Source organism: Homo sapiens, chromosome 12 (assembly GCF_000001405.40).
Source record: "Homo sapiens chromosome 12, GRCh38.p14 Primary Assembly".
NCBI classification, from domain to species: Eukaryota; Metazoa; Chordata; class Mammalia; order Primates; family Hominidae; genus Homo; species Homo sapiens.
Genome location: NC_000012.12, coordinates 25873593 through 25895696, shown reverse-complemented (window position 1 = coordinate 25895696; position 22104 = coordinate 25873593). Strand labels below are relative to the sequence as shown.

The 22104-nt window shown below is 41.4% G+C and overlaps 1 non-coding gene across 1 annotated transcript, besides 2 other annotated features; it reads left to right on the top strand.

Annotated features, from left to right (window-relative positions):
* Nucleotides 7799–8457: an enhancer, noted in NCBI's record as "OCT4-NANOG hESC enhancer chr12:26040173-26040831 (GRCh37/hg19 assembly coordinates)". NCBI's record gives its function as "activates a minimal SCP1, AML or CMV promoter by ChIP-STARR-seq in naive H9 embryonic stem cells {active_cell/tissue: H9 hESC(naive)}" and the evidence as "EXISTENCE:reporter gene assay evidence [ECO:0000049][PMID:30033119]".
* Nucleotides 9433–9976: an enhancer, noted in NCBI's record as "NANOG-H3K27ac-H3K4me1 hESC enhancer chr12:26038654-26039197 (GRCh37/hg19 assembly coordinates)". NCBI's record gives its function as "activates a minimal SCP1, AML or CMV promoter by ChIP-STARR-seq in naive H9 embryonic stem cells {active_cell/tissue: H9 hESC(naive)}" and the evidence as "EXISTENCE:reporter gene assay evidence [ECO:0000049][PMID:30033119]".
* On the top strand, nucleotides 21618–21677 carry MIR4302 (microRNA 4302). Its single transcript, NR_036188.1, has one exon. It is a non-coding gene; the product is annotated as a microRNA 4302 (primary transcript).
* Nucleotides 21678–22104: the final 427 nt, after the last annotated feature.

The window sequence follows — 22104 nt, the reverse complement described above, 5'->3', positions numbered from 1 at the left end:
TATCCCTTAAACATGTATTCTCCAGGGTTCTGTTGTCAGTCCCTTCTCTCTCTGTTCATTCTGCTTTAACTGCTATCAGTTGAGTATCTACCTCCAAATCCCACCCAGCCCCTGGCCCCACCCATGCATACTGCACTGGCTACTAGGGTATTTTTATTCTGGGATGTCACACAGATATCTCAGGACTAAACTCATTATATTTTAACCCAAAGACTTTCTTGTTAAAGGTCCTACATTTCAATTCTAATAGCAACTATCCAGCCACCAATTCAGAAATCTGGATGATAATTTTACTGCTTCTTCCCATTCAGCTCCTCTTTCTCATCAGTATAATCATATTCTGTTAATTATTTTAGTTTTCTTTAAAATCTGTACCTCTTTTTCATGCCCATCTTTGCTGCTTTGGTCATTTCCATCATAAATGACCTGGTACAGTGGCCTCATAACTGGTCTTCTTGACTCTTGAGTTGCTTCCTCCAAACCATACTCTTCTCTCCTGCCAGCTTATAAAACACAATTGTTCATATTGCTTGACCTGCTTAAAGCTCTTTGGTAAGCTCCCTCATCACTCAGCAGAAACATTTCAAATTCCCTAATGTGGCAAACAAAGCCCAATGCGATTTGAACTCAATCTTACCTTTCTTGTGTCATCTCTCGTCTCTACCAGTTTCTTGCACTCAGCCATACTGAACATTCATTTCAACAAATGTGCCCATCTTTCACACACTGTCATGCTGTTCCACAGCTGTTTCATTTTCTGCCGCAATCTGTTGATCTGCTAATTCACCAACTTCCCTGACCTCTAAGCAGAGTCAGGGACTTTCTCTTTCCTCTTCCCATGCTTCTTTAATCACACTGCTATTACTGCTCTCCTCATTACCTTTTACTGTGATTATTTGTTTTCTTCTCCTGCACTAGATTGTCAGTTCCTTGAAGGCAGAAACCATATCTCAGTCATTTTTGTGTCCCTGGTTTCTGACTACATTAATTGTCTGGAAAACTTTTTTTTTTTTTTAAAGAACAGCAGCATACCTCTGACACTGGGTCCCCATTTTGCACTTGTTTCCCTTCAATATTTTTTTTTAATTTTTTATTTTTTTTGAGGCAGGGTTTCACTCCCATCAACTAGGCTAGAGTGCAATGGCATGATCTTGGCTCACTGCAACCACCGCCTCCCGGGCTCAAGCTATTCTCTTGCCTCAGCCTCCTGGGTAGCTGGGACCACAGGCGTATGCCACCATGCCCTGCTAATTTTTGTATTTTTTTTGCAGAGACAGAGTTTCGCTATGTTGCCCAGGTTGGTCTTGAACTCCTGAGCTCAAGTGATCCACCAGCCTTGGCCTCCCAAAGTGCTGGGATTACAAGTGTAAGCCACTGGGCCTGGCCTCTTCAATCTTCTTGAACAAATTCTCAACACCACATGGCTCCACTCCTTTACTTCCCGTTCACCTTTCCAATTCAGGGTAATTAGATTCCCACGCTATCCACTTCCAAGAGGTGGCTCTGGGAAAAGTCGGCAGTGACTGACCTATTGCCAAACTCAACAAACACTTTTCAGCACTGGGCTTCTCTGATTTGTCTTATGCCTTTGACACTGGAGACTACTCTCTTAATTCCAAAGCTCTCTCTATGACACTGCACACTCCTCCAGCATCTCTAACCGTTTGTCTACCTTTGTAAACTCCTCTTCCCTGTTGGGCTGCCCTAAGGTTTGGTCCTCAGTCCACTGCTCTTGCTTTCTATACTCAATGTAGAATGCGGCCATTTATCACAATGTCACAGTGTGATTTATCTCAGTGGTTTTAATTAACACTTACATTCTTGTAAGTCTCTAGACTATATCCCGTCCTCACCTCTCATCTGAACTTCAGAGTTGAATATCCAGTTGTTCAGGAGACATATATCTATTTGTATGTTCCATAGTTTCCTGAAACACAAGTGCAAACTGATGTAATCATCTGCCCTTTGGACTTTCCTCAACACAATCTGACTCCATTCTGCCCCACTGTAAGCTCCTTCTTTTTTCTTTTTATTTATTTATTTAGAAATGGGGTCTTGCCATGTTGCCCAGGCTGGTCTCAAACCCCTAGACTCAAGTGAGCCACCCACCTTGGCCTCTCAAAGTGCTAGGATTACAGGTGTGAGCCATGGCACCTGGCCACCTTCTGAATTTCTTATGTAAACCCTGTATTAGGCCATTCTAGTATTCCTATAAAGCTATCATAATAAGCAGATGTTATCATTCTTTGGCCCTCTCAAAAGTCAACAAGCAAAATGTCTTGAGCATCCCCCCAAAAAACTGTTGTCATGACCATTGCTCTTGACCAGTCCACTTTTGCTTTGACTGGACAACTTCCAACTCTTGGTAGCCATTGCTTTGATTGTGTTTTGTCTTCAGGATTGCACTGGTAAACCATGTTTCATCCCCTGTTACAATTCTTTAAAGAAATGCTTCAGGATCTTGATCCTACGTGTTTAAAATTTCCATTGAAATCTCAGCTATTGTCTGCAGCTGATCTGGGCACAACAGTTTTTGCACTCATCAAGTGGAAAGTTTGCTGAATCTTGATTTTTCAGTCAGAATTATGTAAGCTGAACTGATCAAGATGTCTAGGTGTTGGCTACTGTTTCTGCTCTGATCATCAGTCCTCTTCATCTTCAACATTGTCTCATCTCTTAAAATGAATTATCGGATCAGGTGTGGTGGCTCACACCTGTAATCCTAGCAGTTTAGAAGACTGAGGCCAGAGGATTGCTCGAGCCTAGGAATTCGAGACCAGCCTGAACAGCATGGCAAAACCTTATCTCTAAAAAGAAATATAAAAACTTGCTGGGCGTGGTGACATGCACCTGCAGTCCCAGCTACTCAGGGGGCTGAGGTGGGAGGATTGCTTGAGCCCAGGAGTTCGAGGCTGCAGTGAGCCCTAATTGTACCACTCTACTCTAGCCTGGGTGACAGAGCAAGACTCTGTCTCAAAACAAAAACAAAAAAGGGGTTATCTATTCGAAAACTGCTGATTTTTGGGGGGCATTCTTCCCATATTTTTGTAAAGCATGAATAATTTCACCATTCTTCTACCCAAGCTTCACTGTAAATTTGATGTTTGTTCTTGCTTCAATTTTAGTAGAATTCACGCTGCTCTGATAGGAGCTCTTTTCAAACTGACATCTTATCTGTCTTATTGCCTCAAACTAGATCCTGTTTAGACATGTTATAACAAGTCAGTGGAAGTTTACTTTGTTTCAAAAAATTTATAAAATCCATGCATAGTTTCTTCATAATACACATATTCCAGGAACATTTTGAAGACCCCTCATATTTTCCATCACTTGTATCCTACTGGGAAATGCAAATATGGATAGTGAAAGAAGTTCTCAAGGTTCCCGCCTATGGTACACTCTTAGGGAAATTGGTAAACCATGTATTGTGATTTTATGTTCCCTGGTAGGCAGTGATTAAGTACTGGGCTGCATTTATATTAATTGAATAAGGGCAATAACACTAGGAAAAATATACTACTTGTCCATATGACATTGGGATTTCACTTTAAAATGATTTGTTCTAGTTCCTTGCTCATGGTTGGCCTATGGAGGGAAAAAATAAAGAAAATGATCTGTTCTAGAGAAAATCCTACCAAATTACTAAATAAAGAGATTTTAGCTATTAAACTTGCCACAAGGGCATAGCTAATCATAAATTAATTCTTAGCATGGTTGGCCAAGGCAGGTTTTTTTTTTTTAAATTATAGGATATAGCATAGTTTCTGTTTATAACGTACAAAGGAAACAGATATATTTAAAAGTAATTCAGGCTGGGCACAGTGTTTCAGGCCTGTAATCCCAGCACTTTGGGAGGCCAAGATGGGAGGGTCCATAAGCCCAAGGAGTTCGAGACCAACCTGGGCAACATGACAAAATCTCATCTCCACGAAAATTACAAAAAATTAGCTGGGTATGGTGGCACACACCTGCAGTCTTAGCTACTCTGGAGGCTGAGGTAGGAGGATCATTTGAGCCTGGGAAGTTAAGACTGAAGTGAGTGGTGATTATGTCACTGCACTCCAGCCTGGGTGATGTTATAAATAAAGTTTCAGTGCCTCAAAAGAAATAGCACTCGAGTATAAAATTTTCCTTTTTTCTTCTCAGCAAGGCTATTTACTTCTATAGAAGGGTAGGCCCTCACAGATGGAGCAATGGTGAGCACACAGGTGGACAAAGGAGCAGAAGGGGTTCTTATTCCTGATGCACGTGGCCCCTGCTGCTGTGTCCTTACCCCATTGGCTAGGGTTAGACCACACAGGCTAAACTAATTCCGATTGGCTAATTTAAAGAGAGTGACGGGGTGAGTGGTTTGGCGGGAAAAATGGTTAAGGCAGAGCAGGAAATCAGACTGAGTCAGGTTGGAGAATGAGTCGGGGCAGAACAGGTAATTGGAATGAGTCAGGGTGGAGCAGGTAATCAGAATGAGTCAGGTAATCGAAAAAGGTTGCTTTATGAGGAAGTTAAGTTTAAAAGTAGAAGGCAAAGAATTGAACATAACTGACATATTGATTCTTTGAAGAGAAATTTAGAACTCATATCTAACAGTGACAGAGTGAGACCCTGCCTCAAATGAATAAATGAATGAATGAATAAAAGCAATACATGCACATAAAAAATAAGTAATACAGAATTATACAAATTAAAAAGTGAAAGTCCTCCATTATCCCATTCTCCACAATGTGACTCCTCAGAAATAGTCACCATTAAGAGTTTGGTGTATATCTGGGAGAATGTGTGAATGTGTATTGTGTCCTTCCGTGATGTGCTTTCATTATAATGTTGATGAGAGAAAAATTGCTTCCTTCCCAGTTGGAGACACTGTGTGGAGTTTGCATGTTCCTGAGTTTGCATGTGTACATGGCTTTTCTCCAGTTACTCAGGTTTCCTCCCACATGCCAAAGACGTGCATATGAGGTGAATTCCATGTCTAGATTGCCCCAGTGTCAGTGAGTGTGGGTCTGTGTGAGTGTGCCTTATGACAGAATGGTGTCCTATCCAGGATTGTTTCCTGACTTGTGCCCTGAGCTGCCAGGATAGGCTCTGGCCATCTGAGATGCTGAACTGAAATAAGCAGGTTGGAAAAGGAATGAATGAATGAATACAAATTATTGTAAAATGAAAATTTGTGAAGTATCCAATAATCATACAAATGCATGATAATACATGACATGGGGTGAAAGCACTTAGTTACCCGCCATATTGATTATTTGTTTTTGAACTGCATGGTGGAAGGACTCCTTAGAATTTTTGCTCCGCAAACTTTCATTCGTTGATTTATTCCACCACCGTTATTGCAATTGCTCACAGATACACAATAAATTGGATAAATAATTATTTTGTTGTTGTTGTTTTTATTTTTTATGTCACAACAAGAACATATAAATAATTTTCTTTTTATTAATCTTTCTTAAATGTATGAAAGGAAAATAAAAACTGGTGACCAAAATTCACTTGCCAAGAGGAAAAGAATCAAGCTGAAAGTTGAGTTATGCAAGAAGCTGCCTTTTCTTTTGTTCCTAAGCAGAAAGCTACAGATAAAAGGTTAAATACCTGCACAGGTAGCTAGCTACTCTATGTTCACTTTCTCTTATGCAAAGTGTCAATTTACTGAGCGAGTACATAGTTGACTATTTCCCTACCTGCTCCTTTTCTCTTGCAACATGTGGATTCAGTGATGTGACCATACCCTCCCTCTTTTCCCTCCAGCCTGCTTCTCCTCTTTAAATACTGAAGCCCTCAAAATCATCTTTGAAGAAAGGCACAGACCTGTCTCCCAGGCACTTCCTTAACCTTGGAAAAATAAACTTTATTTATTTATTATTATTATACTTTAAGTTTTAGGGTACATGTGCACAATGTGCAGGTTAGTTACATATGTATACATGTGCCTTGCTGGTGCGCTGCACCCACTAAATTAATTGAGCCCTATCTCAGATACTTTTGGGTTTACAAATATATCACTTTTATTTCAATGTTTAATATTAGAAGTTTGGGGTCTTTATTTAGAAGTTTGGTGATGTTTTTGCGGCCAAAGAAGGAAATCAAAATTATTTCATCTCAAAATATTGCCTCCTAGTCTAAAGCATATTTTGAATTAAAGCCCCTTAAAAGATCAATAGACGCTGGGAGAGCATTTCCTTCTATCTACATAAAGACCCGATGGATCCATCAATGAGAACAATTGTTTTACTTTCCTCTCCCTGTTATCTCATTATCTACTGCAAAAAAGAAGACCGAAGAGTGTAACCACACCTGAATGAACCCTTTCACGAGATCATGTCTGTCTCTGGGGCTCACTGAATTTCGAAAAAGAACCGTTTACAAGTTAATCTCTATTCTCTGTTCATTCTACCTAGTAATCATTTATTGCCCATCAACAGAATTAACTATATTCCCCATCCCCTCCCTCTCCTCTGAAAAAAGGCTATCCAAGCTTTTGTATCCCATTGTTTGGGGTGATAGGGGTAATCACTGTGTGTTTCTCTCCTGTGCATGTAGATATTTGCCATTTCTCCCATTAATCTGCCTTTTGTCAGTTGGTTTATTTTAGCGAAACTTCAGAGGGTAAAGGGGAAGTTTCCCCTTAGCCCCTACATCAGAAATATGCCATAGGAACTTAACTCTTGTTTATGTCGATTAGCCTATGGTAAAAATGGCTTCGTTGCTGTTTTGCTTCAAGTCGCAGTTTCCAAGAACCTATTGATAATGTTAAGTGAGGACTTACTGTTTGTATTTATAACAAAACTGTGAATATGATACATAAATATGGATGATGAATTTCACTGTGAAATTTCTCAAGCTAATGTAGACAGATATGAAAACCTCTACTCTCTCACTTATCCTTCTGTTCAGTTGAATCTCCTGTGTATATAACAGCAAGGAGCTGGAGTTATTGCTAGGATATTGGCAGCTTTCTTTTTTCTTCTTTCCCAAAGACTTCCTAAGAGAACATGAGATCCTATGTTCCTCTGGAAGTTTACCTTCTTCTGAAAGTACTGATATCTCATCATATTGTAGCTTAGTTGGAAAGAATTCTTATATTTCTCTTTTTATATCTTGGGGTCTCTATATTCATGTCACATTTAGATTTGCTGCTTTCATTAGCTCATATTTCAATTTAATAAGAACAGGGCATCAGAAAGTTTCTGCTTCTTAGAACATTGCTAGTATTTCTCTTTCAATTTGTTTGTATCTGTCATAACTTGTGCTGTCTCCCATCCAAATACTGAGCTGTATTTCCTGTGTAGGTGACAGTAAAAGCCTGCAGTTATTACTGCAGAAATGATTAAGAATACATTTAAGAAAGAACGTCAGATTTTTAGGCTTGAAAAACCATTGAACATGATATCTGTTTCCTTCGAGAATTCTAGAACATAGAAAGTTTGAACATATAAGATTAGAAATCATCCAATCCCATTTTACTGAAGCTGAATTTTTAACGGCACAGCAGAATAATCTAATATGCACACATAAACTAGGTCAGAACTATGAGTGGCTTAGACTAAAATGCATTTAGAGACAAGAATCTGGACAGATATATTTGGATAAGTAGATTCAATGATTTGATGACAAGACCTGGACTAAGTCCCTTGTATTAAAAGGGCAAATGTTATTGCTGCTTTTTAATGTTTCCAGCAATTGGACAGAAACTAGCCAATATAAAATTATGCAGTTATGTACATAAATTTATCAAAATAGAGTTAACCATAGCTGATGTCAACAAAAAGAGTCGTACTCTGTAAAATATTTGAAGAGATTTATTCTGAGCCAAATATGAGTGATCATGGCCCACGACACAGCCCTCAAGAGGTCCTGAGAGCATGTGCCCAAGGTGGTTGGGGCACAGCTTGGTAGCTTGGTTTTATACATTTTAGAGAGGCATGAGACATCAATCAAACACATTTAAGAAATACATCGGTTTGGTCCAGAAAGGCAGGACAACTCAATGTTGGTCGGGGGGCTTCCAAGCTATAGGTGAATTTAAACATTTTCTCGTTGACAATTGGTTGAGTTTGTCTAAAGACTTGAGACTGACAGAAAGGGAATGTTCAGGCTAAGATTGTGGAGACCAAAGTTCTTTAGAAGTCTTATAGTGGCTGCCCTTAGAGACAATAGATGACAAATGTTTCCTATTTAAATCTTAGTTAATCTCTTTAGGATTGGAAGCATCTGAAAGAAAAAGATCTAGCTATGTTAATTGAGATTCTTTACAGATGCAAATTTTCCCTCACAAAGAACATTTTTGCAGGGCCATTTCAAAATATGGCAAAGAAAAATGTTTTGGGGTAAAATACTTTTATTTTCTTCCTTGTCTCATAATGTTATGCCAGAGTCATGTTGGAAAATAAGTATTGATATACCCGGTTAAATAAAACCCATCTGATAAGAATTTATGGTTTGCAGGGCACGACCTCCCAGACCCCTTAGATAGGAGTTTGGGCAAGATAAAAACTCAGAGTTTAGTCCTCATTGGGATTTTTAATTTAGGAGTTACAAATTTAGATTTTTTCAGTTTTAAATTAAAACATGGTCTTTAATCATAGAAAAAAACTGTTTTTCTTCTAAAAAATAAAGGGCCAATGAGGACAACATAGTGAGACTTTGCCTCTACAAAAACATTAAATAAAAAGCAAAACTAGCTGGATATGGTGGCACTTACCTGTAGTCCCAGCTACTAGGGAGGCTGAGCTGGGAGGATTGCTTGAGCCCAGGAGTTTGAGGCTGCAGCAAGCTATGATTGCACCACTGCCCTCCAGTCTGGATGACAGAGTGAGACCTTGTCTTAAAAAAAAAAAAAAAAAAGAAAAAGAAAGAAACAAAGGGCTAATTTATATTCATGTTTTCTTTGTCATAAAATGTAGAAAGAAATAAACACAAAATTATAATATCTGCAGCACTGTAGCACTCTCAGAAAACAGGATAGCTTTCTAGTTTCTTACTTGTCTTTTGCAAGTCTTTAAAATCTTGTTGTGGAATTAGCCTTGTCATTAAAACCTCTTCTTTAGAAGGGGGACTCATTTCAAAGGAGAACATTTGGAAGCATGACAACATGTATGTGCTTTTTATCTGCCCTGGAGAAAATGCTGTAATGTCAATCAGCAACTAAAGGATGCAACTACAATATGAATCTAAAAGTAAAATGAATCTGTAAAGTAAAACTGTGAAAAACATGAACATACTGAAAACTTAATGTGCAATATGGTATAATTTTTAAAGTGAGAAAAATAAACTGTGATGAATCAGAAAATTAGTGATGAAATAATGTCTCTGAGATAGTGGAAATGATAAGCAATCATAAAAACATCCTTTTATATTAGGCATCCTGCAGGCCCATAGCTTTTTTTTGAGACAGAGTCTGACTCTGTCTCCCAGGCTGGAGTGCAGTGGCGCAATCCTGGCTCACTGCAACCTCCGCCTCCCGGGTTCAAGTCATTCTCCTGCCTCAGCTTACCACGTAGCTGGAACTACAGACACCCACCACCATGCCCGGCCAATTTTTTATAGTTTCAGTAGAGACAGAGGTCTCAAACTTCTGACCTGAGGTGATCCACCCACCTCCGTCTCCCAAAGTGCTGGGATTACAGGCATGAGCCACCGCGCTCGGCCCCAGAGCTTTTATCTTAAAGTGGCCATTCTTCTTGGAACAAAGGAGGTGGTAGCTGCGGAGGTGGATAGTGATCTGCAAAATAAACTACAGATTTTTCAGTTGCCACCACCCTTTTGTAACCAGATGCCGCCTGATTTTTAAAGTCTGTTGTTATGGGATCTTCGAGGTATCGCTTTTCTGGCCAGAAACTTGTGGCTGGTGGCGCCTTTGCCCTAGCTTTGCTTGGGTCCGCTGGGTTCGTTCTGCCCACTCAGCCTGGCAGGCTGCACTCAGCCCACGCTACCGGCCTGGATCCCATGCCTCCAAGGGAGACTGCAAGTCAGGTGTGGAGCGGCAAGGGGTGTGTGAGTGAGCGTGGGTTCTGGCAGCTTCATATGCCGCCATGGGCACTGGCTCTCTGCAAGCTGTGGCTGGACCAGGTGCACCACAAGCAGCTTCCCTAGCTGGCAACAGAGGATGCAGTGGCACCTGGAAGATGCCAGGAACTGCAAGGGCCCCAAAGAGGGAGTCACAGCCCTGGCTCAGAGAGCTCTCCAGTCTGGGCTCACCGAAGGGCCGCAGCAATTCTTTCCTTCTCTTTGCCCGCGATGTGGCAAGCAAGGGGCATGTTAGAGCTGTGTTTGTGCTACAGCTCTTTTAGCCTCACCATCCAGCGGGTTCTGAGTTTTTGTCCTGCATCCAGGAATAATGAGGTACACAGACTAGTGAAGGGTGAGAAAGATGAAGAGCAGCTTTATCAAGTGATAGAACAGTTCAGAGACCAGCGCGGGGCAGCTCCTTTCCGCAGCCAGAGTGTCCTGTGAGTATTCATCTCCTAGTAGAGTGGGTAGGTCTTCTCTGCCGGCAGGTCATCCCAACAAGTGTTCAGCTCCCAGCAAAAAGGATATCTCCTTTCTGCAGCTGGTAATCCCGTCACCTGTCTAGCTCTGGCGGAGCCTGGGGCTTCTACGGGCCTCAGGGGGAAGGAACTGTGTCCCTATTGGTCCATGAGCGGCCATGGGCAGGCCTGGAAAAGGCACCACAAGTTCCCACTCTGGTCTGCGGGACTGGCAGCCCAGTCGCCTCTCTGGCCTGAAGGTGGGGACCCATGCCCTTCCATCCAGGAGCCTGTCTGCGTCCTGCCGTCACCCATAGTGCCCAGGCTGCCTGTGCCAAGGGGCACCTGCAGGCCAGCAATGAGCCGCCCTCAGCACCTCCTTGGCTTCCCCTAACCCCGTGCTCGTCGGCACCCAAAGTCCGGATGGGGCTCGCGTCTCAGTGCTGCCCTGAGTGTGTGCACACCCGGCCAGGTTTTTGCAGTGCCCAGGCTCGTCCCCAAACCTGCTCTGAGGCTTTGGGAGCAGGAAGAGGCCAGGCAGTGGGAGCAGACACCCGCAACCCTGCAGAGGCATTGGGGGCCTTCCCAGGCCCCGAGGGTGCAGACTGTAGAGATGTCTGAGTCCTGCACGAGCCTGCTTCTTGTGGAGTGTGCAGGCAGCCCCGGCAGGCAACGCGCCTCCTCGCAGCCTAGGGTGCGGGAACCAGGTCCTCACTGGGCCTCTCTTTGCCCACCCCTCTGTGCCTGACAGCGTTGCTCCCCCTCCAGCAGGCGGCTAGGCCGGGCCCCATCACAGTGGCTTCAGGGAGGCAAGCTCTGGGGGTGCTCCTGCTTGTCCCTGGCTCCCACTGGCTCCATGGAGTGCTTCACTGCCCCAGGCCTAGCTCCACCTCCTCCCCATGCCTTCCCCGCAGCAGCGGGCCAGAGCAGCGTTCCAGGGCCCGGACTCCAGAATTGGGGAGGCTCTGGGCTTGGGGACGGGTCCTGCCCCTCCGTGCACAAGGGCAGGGGTGGTGCAGTGGTGCAGTCGGCTGCCTCGGGGATGGGGCACAGGGGGCCGACCTCTGCCACTGCTGCTCCTGCAGCCGCTCCTGCTGCCACTTCCCACGGCTCTCTGCTGCAGCCGGCGTAATGGCAGTGGCCGCTCCAGATGGCCCGCCGCTGCTGTCACTATTATAATAAGTATACTTGAGACAGTAAAGCACAAACTTTCATATAATAAATGTTTGAATGCTGTAGTTATTGTTACCAGAAAGGGATCTCCATCCAGACGCCAAGAGTGGGTTCTTGGTTCTTACGAAAAACAGCATTTGAGGCAAATTCATTAAGTGAAAGTAAGTTTATTAAGAAAGTAAAGGAATAAAAGAATGCCTACTCCATAAGCAGAGCAGTGGCCTGGGCTGGTCAACTAAGGATATTTATAGTTATTTCTTGATTATATGCTAAACAAAAGGCGGATTATTCATGAGTTTTCTGGGAAAGGAGTGGGCAATTCCTGGAACTGAGGGTTCCTCCTCTTTCCTGACTATATAGGGTTACTTCCTGATGTTGCCATATCATTTGTAAACCCGCACGGCGGTGGTGGGAGTGTCTTTTAGCATATTAATGCATGTTAATGCATTGTAATTAGCGTATAATGAGTAGTGAGGAGACCAGAGGTTACTTTTATCACCATCTTGGTTTTGGTGGGTTTTGGCCGGCTTCTGTTCTGCATGCTGTTTTATCAGCAAGGTCTTTACGACCTGTACCTTGTGGCAACGTCCTATCTCATCCTGTGATTCAGAATGCCTAACCTCCTGGGAATACAGCTCAGTAAGTCTCAACCTTATTTTACCCAGCCCCTTTTCAAGATGGACTTGCTCTGGTTCAAATGCCTCTGACAGCTATTATACCTTGCCTGTTATTTACTCATATTTAACAGAGTTGGCCATGCCCAGTTAAATACCAGCATACAAGGAAACCTCACCTCGTTGGGAGAATATTTCACACCCCTCCAAACTATCAGCACAGTGGAAACTTGGCATGTCCCACATTAAATCTGGCTGCAGCTGTCTCAGGGATCCAAGACTGAATGACTGGTGATTTTACATTGATGTTCTGCTGAACCTTCCTGGTACCTGAGTGGTTAAAATCTGAGAATTTCTAGAAGAAAAGAAAGTACGTCTAAAGCAATGCTAGAAAGGAGCTAATAAATTCTTCAGGATTAACATCAAAGTCTGATGCAAACTAATTTAATCCCCTTGATATTCAGGGATAAATTAAAGCTAATGAATTACAAGTCTTTTGTTGCAATTCTCCTTTGCAAATATTGTGATAATTTTTCATTGTTAACATTATTGGAAAGCTGCTTTCTAACTGTCTTGAACATATTTCCCTACTGAGCATCTGTACCTTTAGAATTCTAATAATGAATGCATTGATTAATTTTCAAGATTCTAAACTTTTGTTTTAATGGCATTTTATTCTGAGGAAATAGACAAATACAGGCTGTGTGTATGTGTGTGTCATTACCAATACCTTTGAAATCGGCCATAAACTATTTTTGCCATAGGCTTGAAAGTCTTCTCCTGCTGTCTTTAAAAGATGTTGTAGGGTCAGGGGAAAACTTCTCTTTTGACCTCTGAAGTTTCACTGAAAAATCAACTCACAAAAGGTAAATTAATTGGAGAAAAGGCATAGAAATGTAATTAATGTGTGTACAAGGGAGAACCACAGGGTGATTACTTATCCCCCAAGATGGTTCAGAAGTTTATATACTATCCTAACAAAGCATATTATGGGAGGGAGGAGAACGGAAATTCTGTTGGGAGGATCACCAGGAAGAATGAATGGATTAGGCAACAGGGATTAATTTATACATTATCTTGTGACAGGGTCTGGCCAGGGATGGTTACATTCTTGGTCTTACAGGAAAGAGAAGAAAAAGCAATTGCTCCTGTTGATGAGTCTGGATCTTAGGTAAATAAAGGAACTTCAACTTCATCCTGTGCTTTGGGAGAGACAGTGTCAAGGGAGAGGGGAAGTCAAAGTGACCTTAAGCCTTCTTCAGTTCAGCATGTCAAAGCTCCACATTTTGGGGCACTGGTTTCTGAGCCCCAACAATATGCTAACCATAAAACTTTTATAAGAAAGCAAAAGAGATTAGAAAGCTTTAGACTTCCTATCCAATACTAAAGTATTCACAAGACAATGAGAAACATATTCTCATAGCAAACATTTTCTGTTTTTCTTATTAATAACTAAATGTTTCAATAAGATATTTCAAGTTCTAGAACCACTACCACTCGTGAAGTCTAAATGTGTATTTCTGGAGTCATTAATTTATTAGCACATGATGGATTATGTTTATGTAGTTTGACACCTTACACTTTCCACTGGTAGTAAGTAAAACATTCAGAAAAGGGTGAACTTGTTTTTGTGAACTGGTTGTCTTACTACAATATGGATCTGTATTTAATCTAAGGCTCTGCATTTGAACTAGGGAGGTGGAAGATTTTTGGATTTCTAATGGAGCTTGAAGTAAAGGTAGAGGCCGGGTGTGGTGGCTAACGCCTGTAATACCAGCACTTTGGGAGGCTGAGGCGGGTGGATCACTTGAGGTCAGGAGTTCGGGACCAGCCTGGCCAACATGGTGAAACCCCGTCTCTACTAAAAATACAAAAATTAGCTGGGGGTAGTGGCTCATGCCTGTAATCCCAGCTACTCAGGAGGCTGAGGCAGGAGAATCGCTTGAACCTGGGAGGCAGAAGTTGCAGTGAGCCGAGATTGCCACTGCACTCCAGCATGGGCAACACAGCGAGACTCTATTTAAAAAAAAAGAAAAAGAAAGAAAGAAAAGAACTGAAGGTTGAGCATGTCCCATTTCTACCTATATACTTTTTTTTTTTTTTTCTGAGACAGAGTCTCGCTCTGTCACCCAGGCTGAAGTGCAGTGGCACCATCTTGGCTCATTGCAACCTCTGCCTCCTGGGTTCAAGTGATTCTTCTGCCTCAGCCTCCCGAGTAGCTGGGATTACAGGCATCGCCCAGGTAATTTTTGTATTTTTAGTAGAGACAGGGTTTCACCATGTTGGTCAGGCTGGTCTTGAACTCCTGACCTCAGGTGATCCACCCACCTTGGCATCCCACACTGTTGGGATAACAGATGTGAGTCACCACGCCCAGCCTATTTAGTATATTTCTTAAGTGCATAGTGTTAAAGAATTGGACTGTTTTCAGTTACTGATATCAGGAATCATTTGGCAAACCCAGCATGGTTTGGAGAATATAACTACATTTGGGAAAATATCAAACCTTTAGAGTTTGATATTTCTTACCTCCTCTGGAAGGTCTTTAGTCTTAATGAATCATATTTTAAATGGAAAAATTGTGTTTAAAAAGGAAGCAGGAAAGAAATCTCCCCAGAGTAAGAATACAAGTAAAAATAAAGGCCGGGAGTCATGTCTCATGCCTGTAATCCCAGCACTCTGAGAGGCCAAGGCGGGCAGATTAGTTGAGGTCAGGAGTTTGAGACCAGCCTGGCCAACATGGCAAAACCCCGTCTCTACTAAAAATACAAAAATTAGCTGGGTGTGGTGATGGACGCCTGTAATTCCAGCTACTCAGGAGGCTGAGGCAGGAGAATCGCTTGAAACTGGGAGGCAGAGGTTGCAGTGATCTGAGATCGTGCCATTGCACTCACCAGCCTGGGCAACAGAGTGAGACTCCATCTCAAAAAAAAAAAAAAAAAAAAGAATATAAGTAAAAATAATTTTTTTTTTATTTCTCCCAAGTGAGAATTAAAGGGCTTAGGGTTACTTTATCAGTTTAGTTTATTTCAGTTCAGGTCAGTTAAATGACAATTTCCTGAGCATCCATTGAATGAGGTGCTGGGGGCACCAACGTGAAGCAGCTACTGTCTCTTTATGCAAGAAACTCAAAGTCTGATGGATGAGGCAGGCACACAAATGCACACTTCCAAAAACATGGCAAAGACCATGGTTAAGTTGTTCTCCTGGTGCTCTAGGAACCTAGAGGAAGAAGAGCACTGAGTTTGGCCAGTTTAGATGAAGATAATGCCTGAACTGGGTTTGAAGTATAAAAAGGAGGTTGTAGGCCAAGGAAGGCTGGGATGGGGCAGAGAAAAAGGAGAAATTTGTTTGGGGAGATTAGAAAACAATTCAGTATGAGCAAATGTGGGAAGACACAGAATAGGATGTGCTCACTGGAGAGCTATGAACAGCTATGAATTATCAGTGAATATTGTGAGGGGGGAATAGAGAAGATGTGACTACAGGAAGAGGTGCGCTCAGGTCACTGACAGCCTTATATCCCAGGCTGAAGAGCATGGACTTCAGTTTACAGATGAGGAAGAGAAATAAGAATGGAGTGATTGCCAAGAACAGTGAAGAGTCTGAGATTTTAACCTGCTTGCAAGCTATCAAGTTAGGCTGCTATCGTTTCACAGATGCTTGTAGAAGACACAAGACTCCTGGGTCAGAGACAAGACACTTTGTTACCCATCGCACAGCAGGCAGCATAAGCTTCATGTCTATGTTGGTTTATCTTGTTCTCTGAGTTCTAAGGGGGCCACAGGAAGGTGGGTCCAGGTAGGTGCTGTGCATGCAGTGGGTTTGTATTACAGCCGAGAAACCCTGAGCTTAGGATTTCCCAATATTTTGTAAGTGAGATGCATGCAAACCTGCCCAACCTTTGCCTTAGAGGGATATATTATCTTTATTATAGTGGATAGCAAACAGATCTGCTTTTTTTCCTGAAGGCAGGCATATTTTTGTTTTTTTCCTGAAGGGAGACATATGTTTGTATAAAACATTCTTTCTGGATAGGTCGGGCACGGTGGCTCACGCCTGTAATCCCAACACTTTGGGAGGCTGAGGAGGATGGATCACGAGGTCAGGAGTTCCAGACCATCCTGGCCAACATGGTGAAACCCCGTCTCTACTAAAAATACAAAAAGATTAGCTGGGCATGGTGGCGGGCGCCTGTAGTCCCAGCTACTCAGGAGACGGAGGCAGGAGAATGGCATGAAACCGGGAGGCGGAGGTTGCAGTGAGCCGAGACCGCACCACTGCACTCCAGCCTGGGCGACAGAGAGAGCCTCTGTCTCAAAAAAAAAAAAAAAAGAAAATACAGTCTGGAACAAAAGCTGTTAGTATCTCTGCTCACAAGTTGTGCAGAGATGTTACAGGCAAATGAAGAATTGCCCCCAACAGTATAACAATCAAGATGTGTTTTAGGTGTATCACTCTGGTGACAAGTGAGGGATGGAGTTGCATTTGCTGCAATAATCCAGGTGAAAGAAGATCAGAGCCGAAATTCAAGAGATGACAGGGAAGAATTTGAGAAATATCTAGAAGGGAAAAATAGAGGCAGCTTTGCAATCTTAGAGAGAAGGAACGGTCTAAAACAGGGATTGGCAACATATTTTTTGTCAAGGGCTAAACAGTAAATATTTTAGGCTGGGCCATTTGGCCTCAGTTGAACTCAATTTTACCATTGCAGTAGGAGAGAGAAGCCATTGACAAAACCAATGGCTGATGCTGTGTTCCAATAAAACTTCATTTATAAAAACAGATCCATGGGTTATAGTTTTCTGACCCTAAGCTTAGGAAACAACCCAAGGTTTTTGTGTTGTGTGACTAGATAGATGGAAATGCTAATAATTGAAAGAAGACATTTAGCCTTTTTTTGTTTTGTTTTGTTTTTGGTGTGAGAGAGTGGGGAGATGAGGTTTTGGAAGTTTTAAATTGGCCGGGTGTGGTGGCTCACACCTGTAATCCCAGCATTTTGGGAGTCTGTGGCAGGAAGATCACTTGAGCCTGGGAGTTGGAGACCAGCCTAGGCAACATAGGGAGACCCTGTCTCTACAAAATAATTAATAATAATAATAACAATAATAATAATAAAATAAAGTTTTGAATTTAGGAAAGTAAGGAATGTCCAGAAATAGAGATTTTCTAGGCAGCTGAATATATAAATTTGAAGCTTAAGACAGTGTCATTGTTAGGGGTAATGATTTAAAAGTTCTAAGCATATGGATGGGGGTTAAAACCATGGAAGTGAATAGCATCACTCAATGAGAACATGAAGACTAGGAAGAAATGTGGGCCAAAGACAAAACCCTAGGAAAGTGTCAGTATTTATAGGCCAGCCTTAACTCAAGAGGCACCCAAAAACTTCTTCAGATGGAACATCTGATGTGTGTGTGTGTGTGTGTGTCCATAAAGAAGGGAAGGGATTGGAGGATGTACTTTAATGTCAAAGCAACCCTCCCCCAAACTTTCAACTCTGAAAACCCCCCAAACTCTGTAAGTCATATTTATTCTTCATCAGAATTATAAAAGACTTCTAAGAAATTTCAGAGGGGCACTCATGTTTTTTCTCTTTAATTTGTGATTGAGAGTAAAGTTAATTGAGAAGAACCTTGGTTAGTTATACTGAAATCCAAACTGCTGCATTAGAATCTAATTTTTTTATTTCATCAAGGAAAGGATTACAACTGGGTTTGTTCCACTCTTTTCTTCTGCATACAAGTATGGCTGCAATCATTAGTCATTCATTTATTTGGTTGGTCACTCAACAAACATTTAGTGAGTATCTATAATATGCACAGCTAAGCACTGTGGAAGATAGAAAAATGAACAAGGCATAACCTGCCTGTGTTTAAAGAAAATAACAATGACACAAAGCAGAATGTGATCAATGTCTCAAGAGATGATCACTAAAACTGTAGCGATGTTATTGGTGTGGGTTTTTTTGCTACCCTTTGTAATTATGCTTAGAAATTTCCAGAAAAAACATTAATCCATGCTTTTAAGTCATGGTATCTATGGGTCCAGGAAGGGGAAACATTAAATAAAACCACATCATTGCACTCACTCTGTCAGAAGAGTCTAGAGTGGAGGGTACAAAATTCAGTCAACATTACTGCCATCTATGTGAGTTGTAGGGACACCTCTCTTTGGTAGCTTGTGTATGAGTAGAAAATGCCTGCTTTAAAAAAATATGTAAAATCATGTGATGATGATAATGATTGTGTCTACACACACAAATGAGTTTGACTTTAGTTCAAATAACTGTTTTTTAACCTACATAACAACAAATAATTTAAAATCTCAAAATAATTTTTAAATGAAAAATTTTCAACTGGTTTAGAGTAATGTAAAAAGCAAAGAAACAAACATTACTAAAAACAATCATTTGTTCTTGCTTACTTTAGTTCCAAAATAGAGGAATCTAATATTTAGGGGGTAGAATGAGTTTGTTAACCAAAAATAAAATTTGAAAGCTTCCACAACCATCTGAATGAACTTCCTCCCCAACCAGGGCACTCAAAAAATTTAACCTGAAAGACTGGCTCAGACCATGATGGGAAGTGGGGGTTGGACATGTCTCATGATACCCCCTCCAGCATTAACATCAATGCAGACCTTAAGTCTGATAAGAAACATTTACAGTCTCTTGAAAGCCTGTTACTTGGAGGTTTTACCTCCATGATAAAACCTAGGTCTCCACAACCCCTTATCTTAACCCAGACATTCCTTTCTACTGATAAGAAGCGTTTCAACCAATTGACATCAGAAAAATTTTAAATCTATCTATCACCTGGAAGCCACCCTCCCCCACCCTTCCAGATAGAACCAATGTAATCTTACATGTATTGATTGATGTATTATATCTCCCTAAAAAGCAAGCTGTACCCCGACCACCTTGGGCACTTGTTGTCAGGACCTCCTGAGGCTGTGTCATGGGTGTGTCCTTAACCAAACTTTCTAAATTGACTGAGACCTGTCTCAGATATTTTGAGTTCACAAGTTATATTGGCATAGGGGTTTCTTAGTTTATTTTCAGTGCAAAACAAGCCACGCCAGTAGTCAATTTCTTCATGTTACAAGTATATATCTATATTTGAATGAAAAACAAGTCCACATATTTCCTTTCTTGAGTTATTACTTTTCAAATCAGATATGTCTTGTTTATACAAACTAATGAAATTGAGTATATTCTTTGATGATTTACTGCTAACCCTACAGAGAAAGAAAAGCTAAAATTTGTATTCCTCAATTTTGATTTTAATTCAAATAATTGAAGCACGCCTATATTCTTAAAAGCTATTACATGTTCTCTTGGAAGGTCTATTGATTCATCCTTTTGAACACTCATTATGGAAATAGGTAGTGTTAAATTATAGTTGAGTTTAAGTACTATATTTCACACAGCACTTGCATCTGTAAATAATGATCATTGTAAAAAATGTCCATTTATGGTCATCAAAGTAAATTTTCTTGACTGACTAGTCAGATAAGAAATCCAGCAATGTCTTCGGTGAGCAAGTCCTCTGGCTCAAGCAAATGTTGGCTTGATGGGCCACTTACTCCTCCCATTATTTTCAAAGCCTACTTGGAATTCCTTTTGAAAGTCTATTGCAGGCTGATTTCATAAGAGAAGCAACCTAGTTCAGCAGGATTGAAATCTCCTATTCCCTGTCTATCCAAATCAGTTTCTTTAAGAAGAGGGTACATTTGTGTAGCCTCAGGTGGACCAGAATAAAGGAGGATTGTTAATAAATAAAGTTGTATTTGGAAGACCCTTTACCCTATCAGTTTTGGTACAAGGCTTAGAGAACAACATTGCCTATTGTTTGGTGACTGAGCCTCCGAAGTCACCTCTTGAGTGCTTTCTGTCTTGCTGCTCCTGCTCTTCTTCAGATTCTCTGCAGAAAGTTTCTGAGTCAGTGCAAGTGCCTCTTCAATATGAATCTTAAGTTTATTGCTGAAGTTAATTTCACCTCCATTAGACTGTGCATTTTTCTGGGGAGGGACTGCTTCTGCTGTTTCCTTTACAACTCTCCTAATAGCAAGACATGTGCTTGTGACCTGAACGTGGTGAGCATTACTGTTTGCCATCAAAATGTTAAGGTCACTGCTGTATGGTTATTCATAAGAAGTGAAGAGCTGAAAATAAGGTTGTTTGGAAGCATGAGTTGAAGCCAAATTATGGAAGGCCTTACCTGCCAGGCTGGTTTGGACTCGACGAGTGTTTGTGAGCAGGGTGAGGGGTGTTAGGAGCTGTGCTGGAGGAGGCCAGTCAGGATGGGCAGTGAGCAATTGCTGAAATTTAAACAAAAATCAAAGGCCATACATATAAATGGACTATAAATATCACTGAATGGATATCAGTGAAGGGAAGCACGAATTGATGAAGTCTGAAGGAGGAAGTGAGATTTGAAGAATGAGAAGAAAATAATCCAGCCGAAAGGGAAAGGGAGAACGTTCTAGTTAGCTAGAAACAATAACAGAATTTCAGCATCTGAAATATTTTTGACAAAGGATTCATTTCTTCCCCACCAGACTTATTAATTCTTTCCTTCCTCGTCTCCTTCCCTCGTTCCTTCCTTCTCTCTCTTCCTACTCCTTTTCTTCCTTCTTCTTCAACAAACACTGCCAACAAATCCTAAATTTTATTTTCGCTGGTTACAATCACTTCACATTTTTTTCCTGGTGTCTTCATTTGAAATTGCCTTACTTTTGACTATTCCTCCTGAAAAATACATGATCAGACCTTGAAATGGGTGAGGCAGAGAAGTTTAAGAATTTCTTCCTTGAGATTTTTTTCTCAGATAAATATGCACAGTATGACTGGATTTTTGAAGACAACTTTGTGTTTTGTGATATCCCTGGACTCCCACCCCAGAGGCTGACAATGCTTTTAGGCCCCTCTTTGTAAGATTTATGCCGATGAGTGCCCAAGTTTCTAGAAATGTGACATGGCCAGGTATTGCCAGAGAGAAGCACGTTACCTGCTTCCATGGTTATGGTATTTTCCCTCTTGTCCGACCCTCCTCCCTCCTGTGTGTGTGTGTGAGGCTGGGGATGAAGGGGTAGCAGTTTGGTGAAGGTGGGATCCATAGGGACCAGAGTTGGGAGTCTACTGAGGCATCATTTATCAAAAGTATTAGCATATAAGGCCAGAGGACAGATTCTGTTGTGTGCCGGAGTCTAAATTTAGTCACCAAGGAAAATGCTCCACAAAGAGAAAGAGTTTGCTAAGAACCAAAAAAAGTGGGGATGTTGGCATCAGGAGAGCAGAGCTCTAAGCATGGTGGATACTGATGAGGAATTCTGAAACTGTGATGCAGATCCTGGGGTCACTTCAGGAGGGACCAGTGTGGCTCAGCGAGGTGGCTGAGTTTACTTAAGGTATTGGAATGAGGTAGAATTACTATTTCTATTCCCAAATCACCAAAGTCATGAAGCTTAAAAAAAGCATCTCTTCCAAATACCTCATTTTTCATTTGCAAAAAAAGGGAGAGAAAATACTCCTTGTTTTGTAACTCATTATAACTCATCAACTTCTCTAACTCTTTAATCAGCTTTATTCCAGGAGGAAGAGAATTGATTGAACTGTATGATTTCAAAAACGTGTTATGGGAAAATGAAGATATATAGCTTTATGGTTTATTTTATTTTTTCCACAAATCCAGGTCTCTAAGCTTTATGGTTTAAAGTTCTGTCTCTGGAGTCAGACAAACCTGGATCTGAATCTTTGTCTGATATTTATTAGCTTTGTAAATTTAAATTAAGTGGGCATAACATTTGTAAGCCTCTATTTCATAATCTATAAAAAGAGGATAACAGGC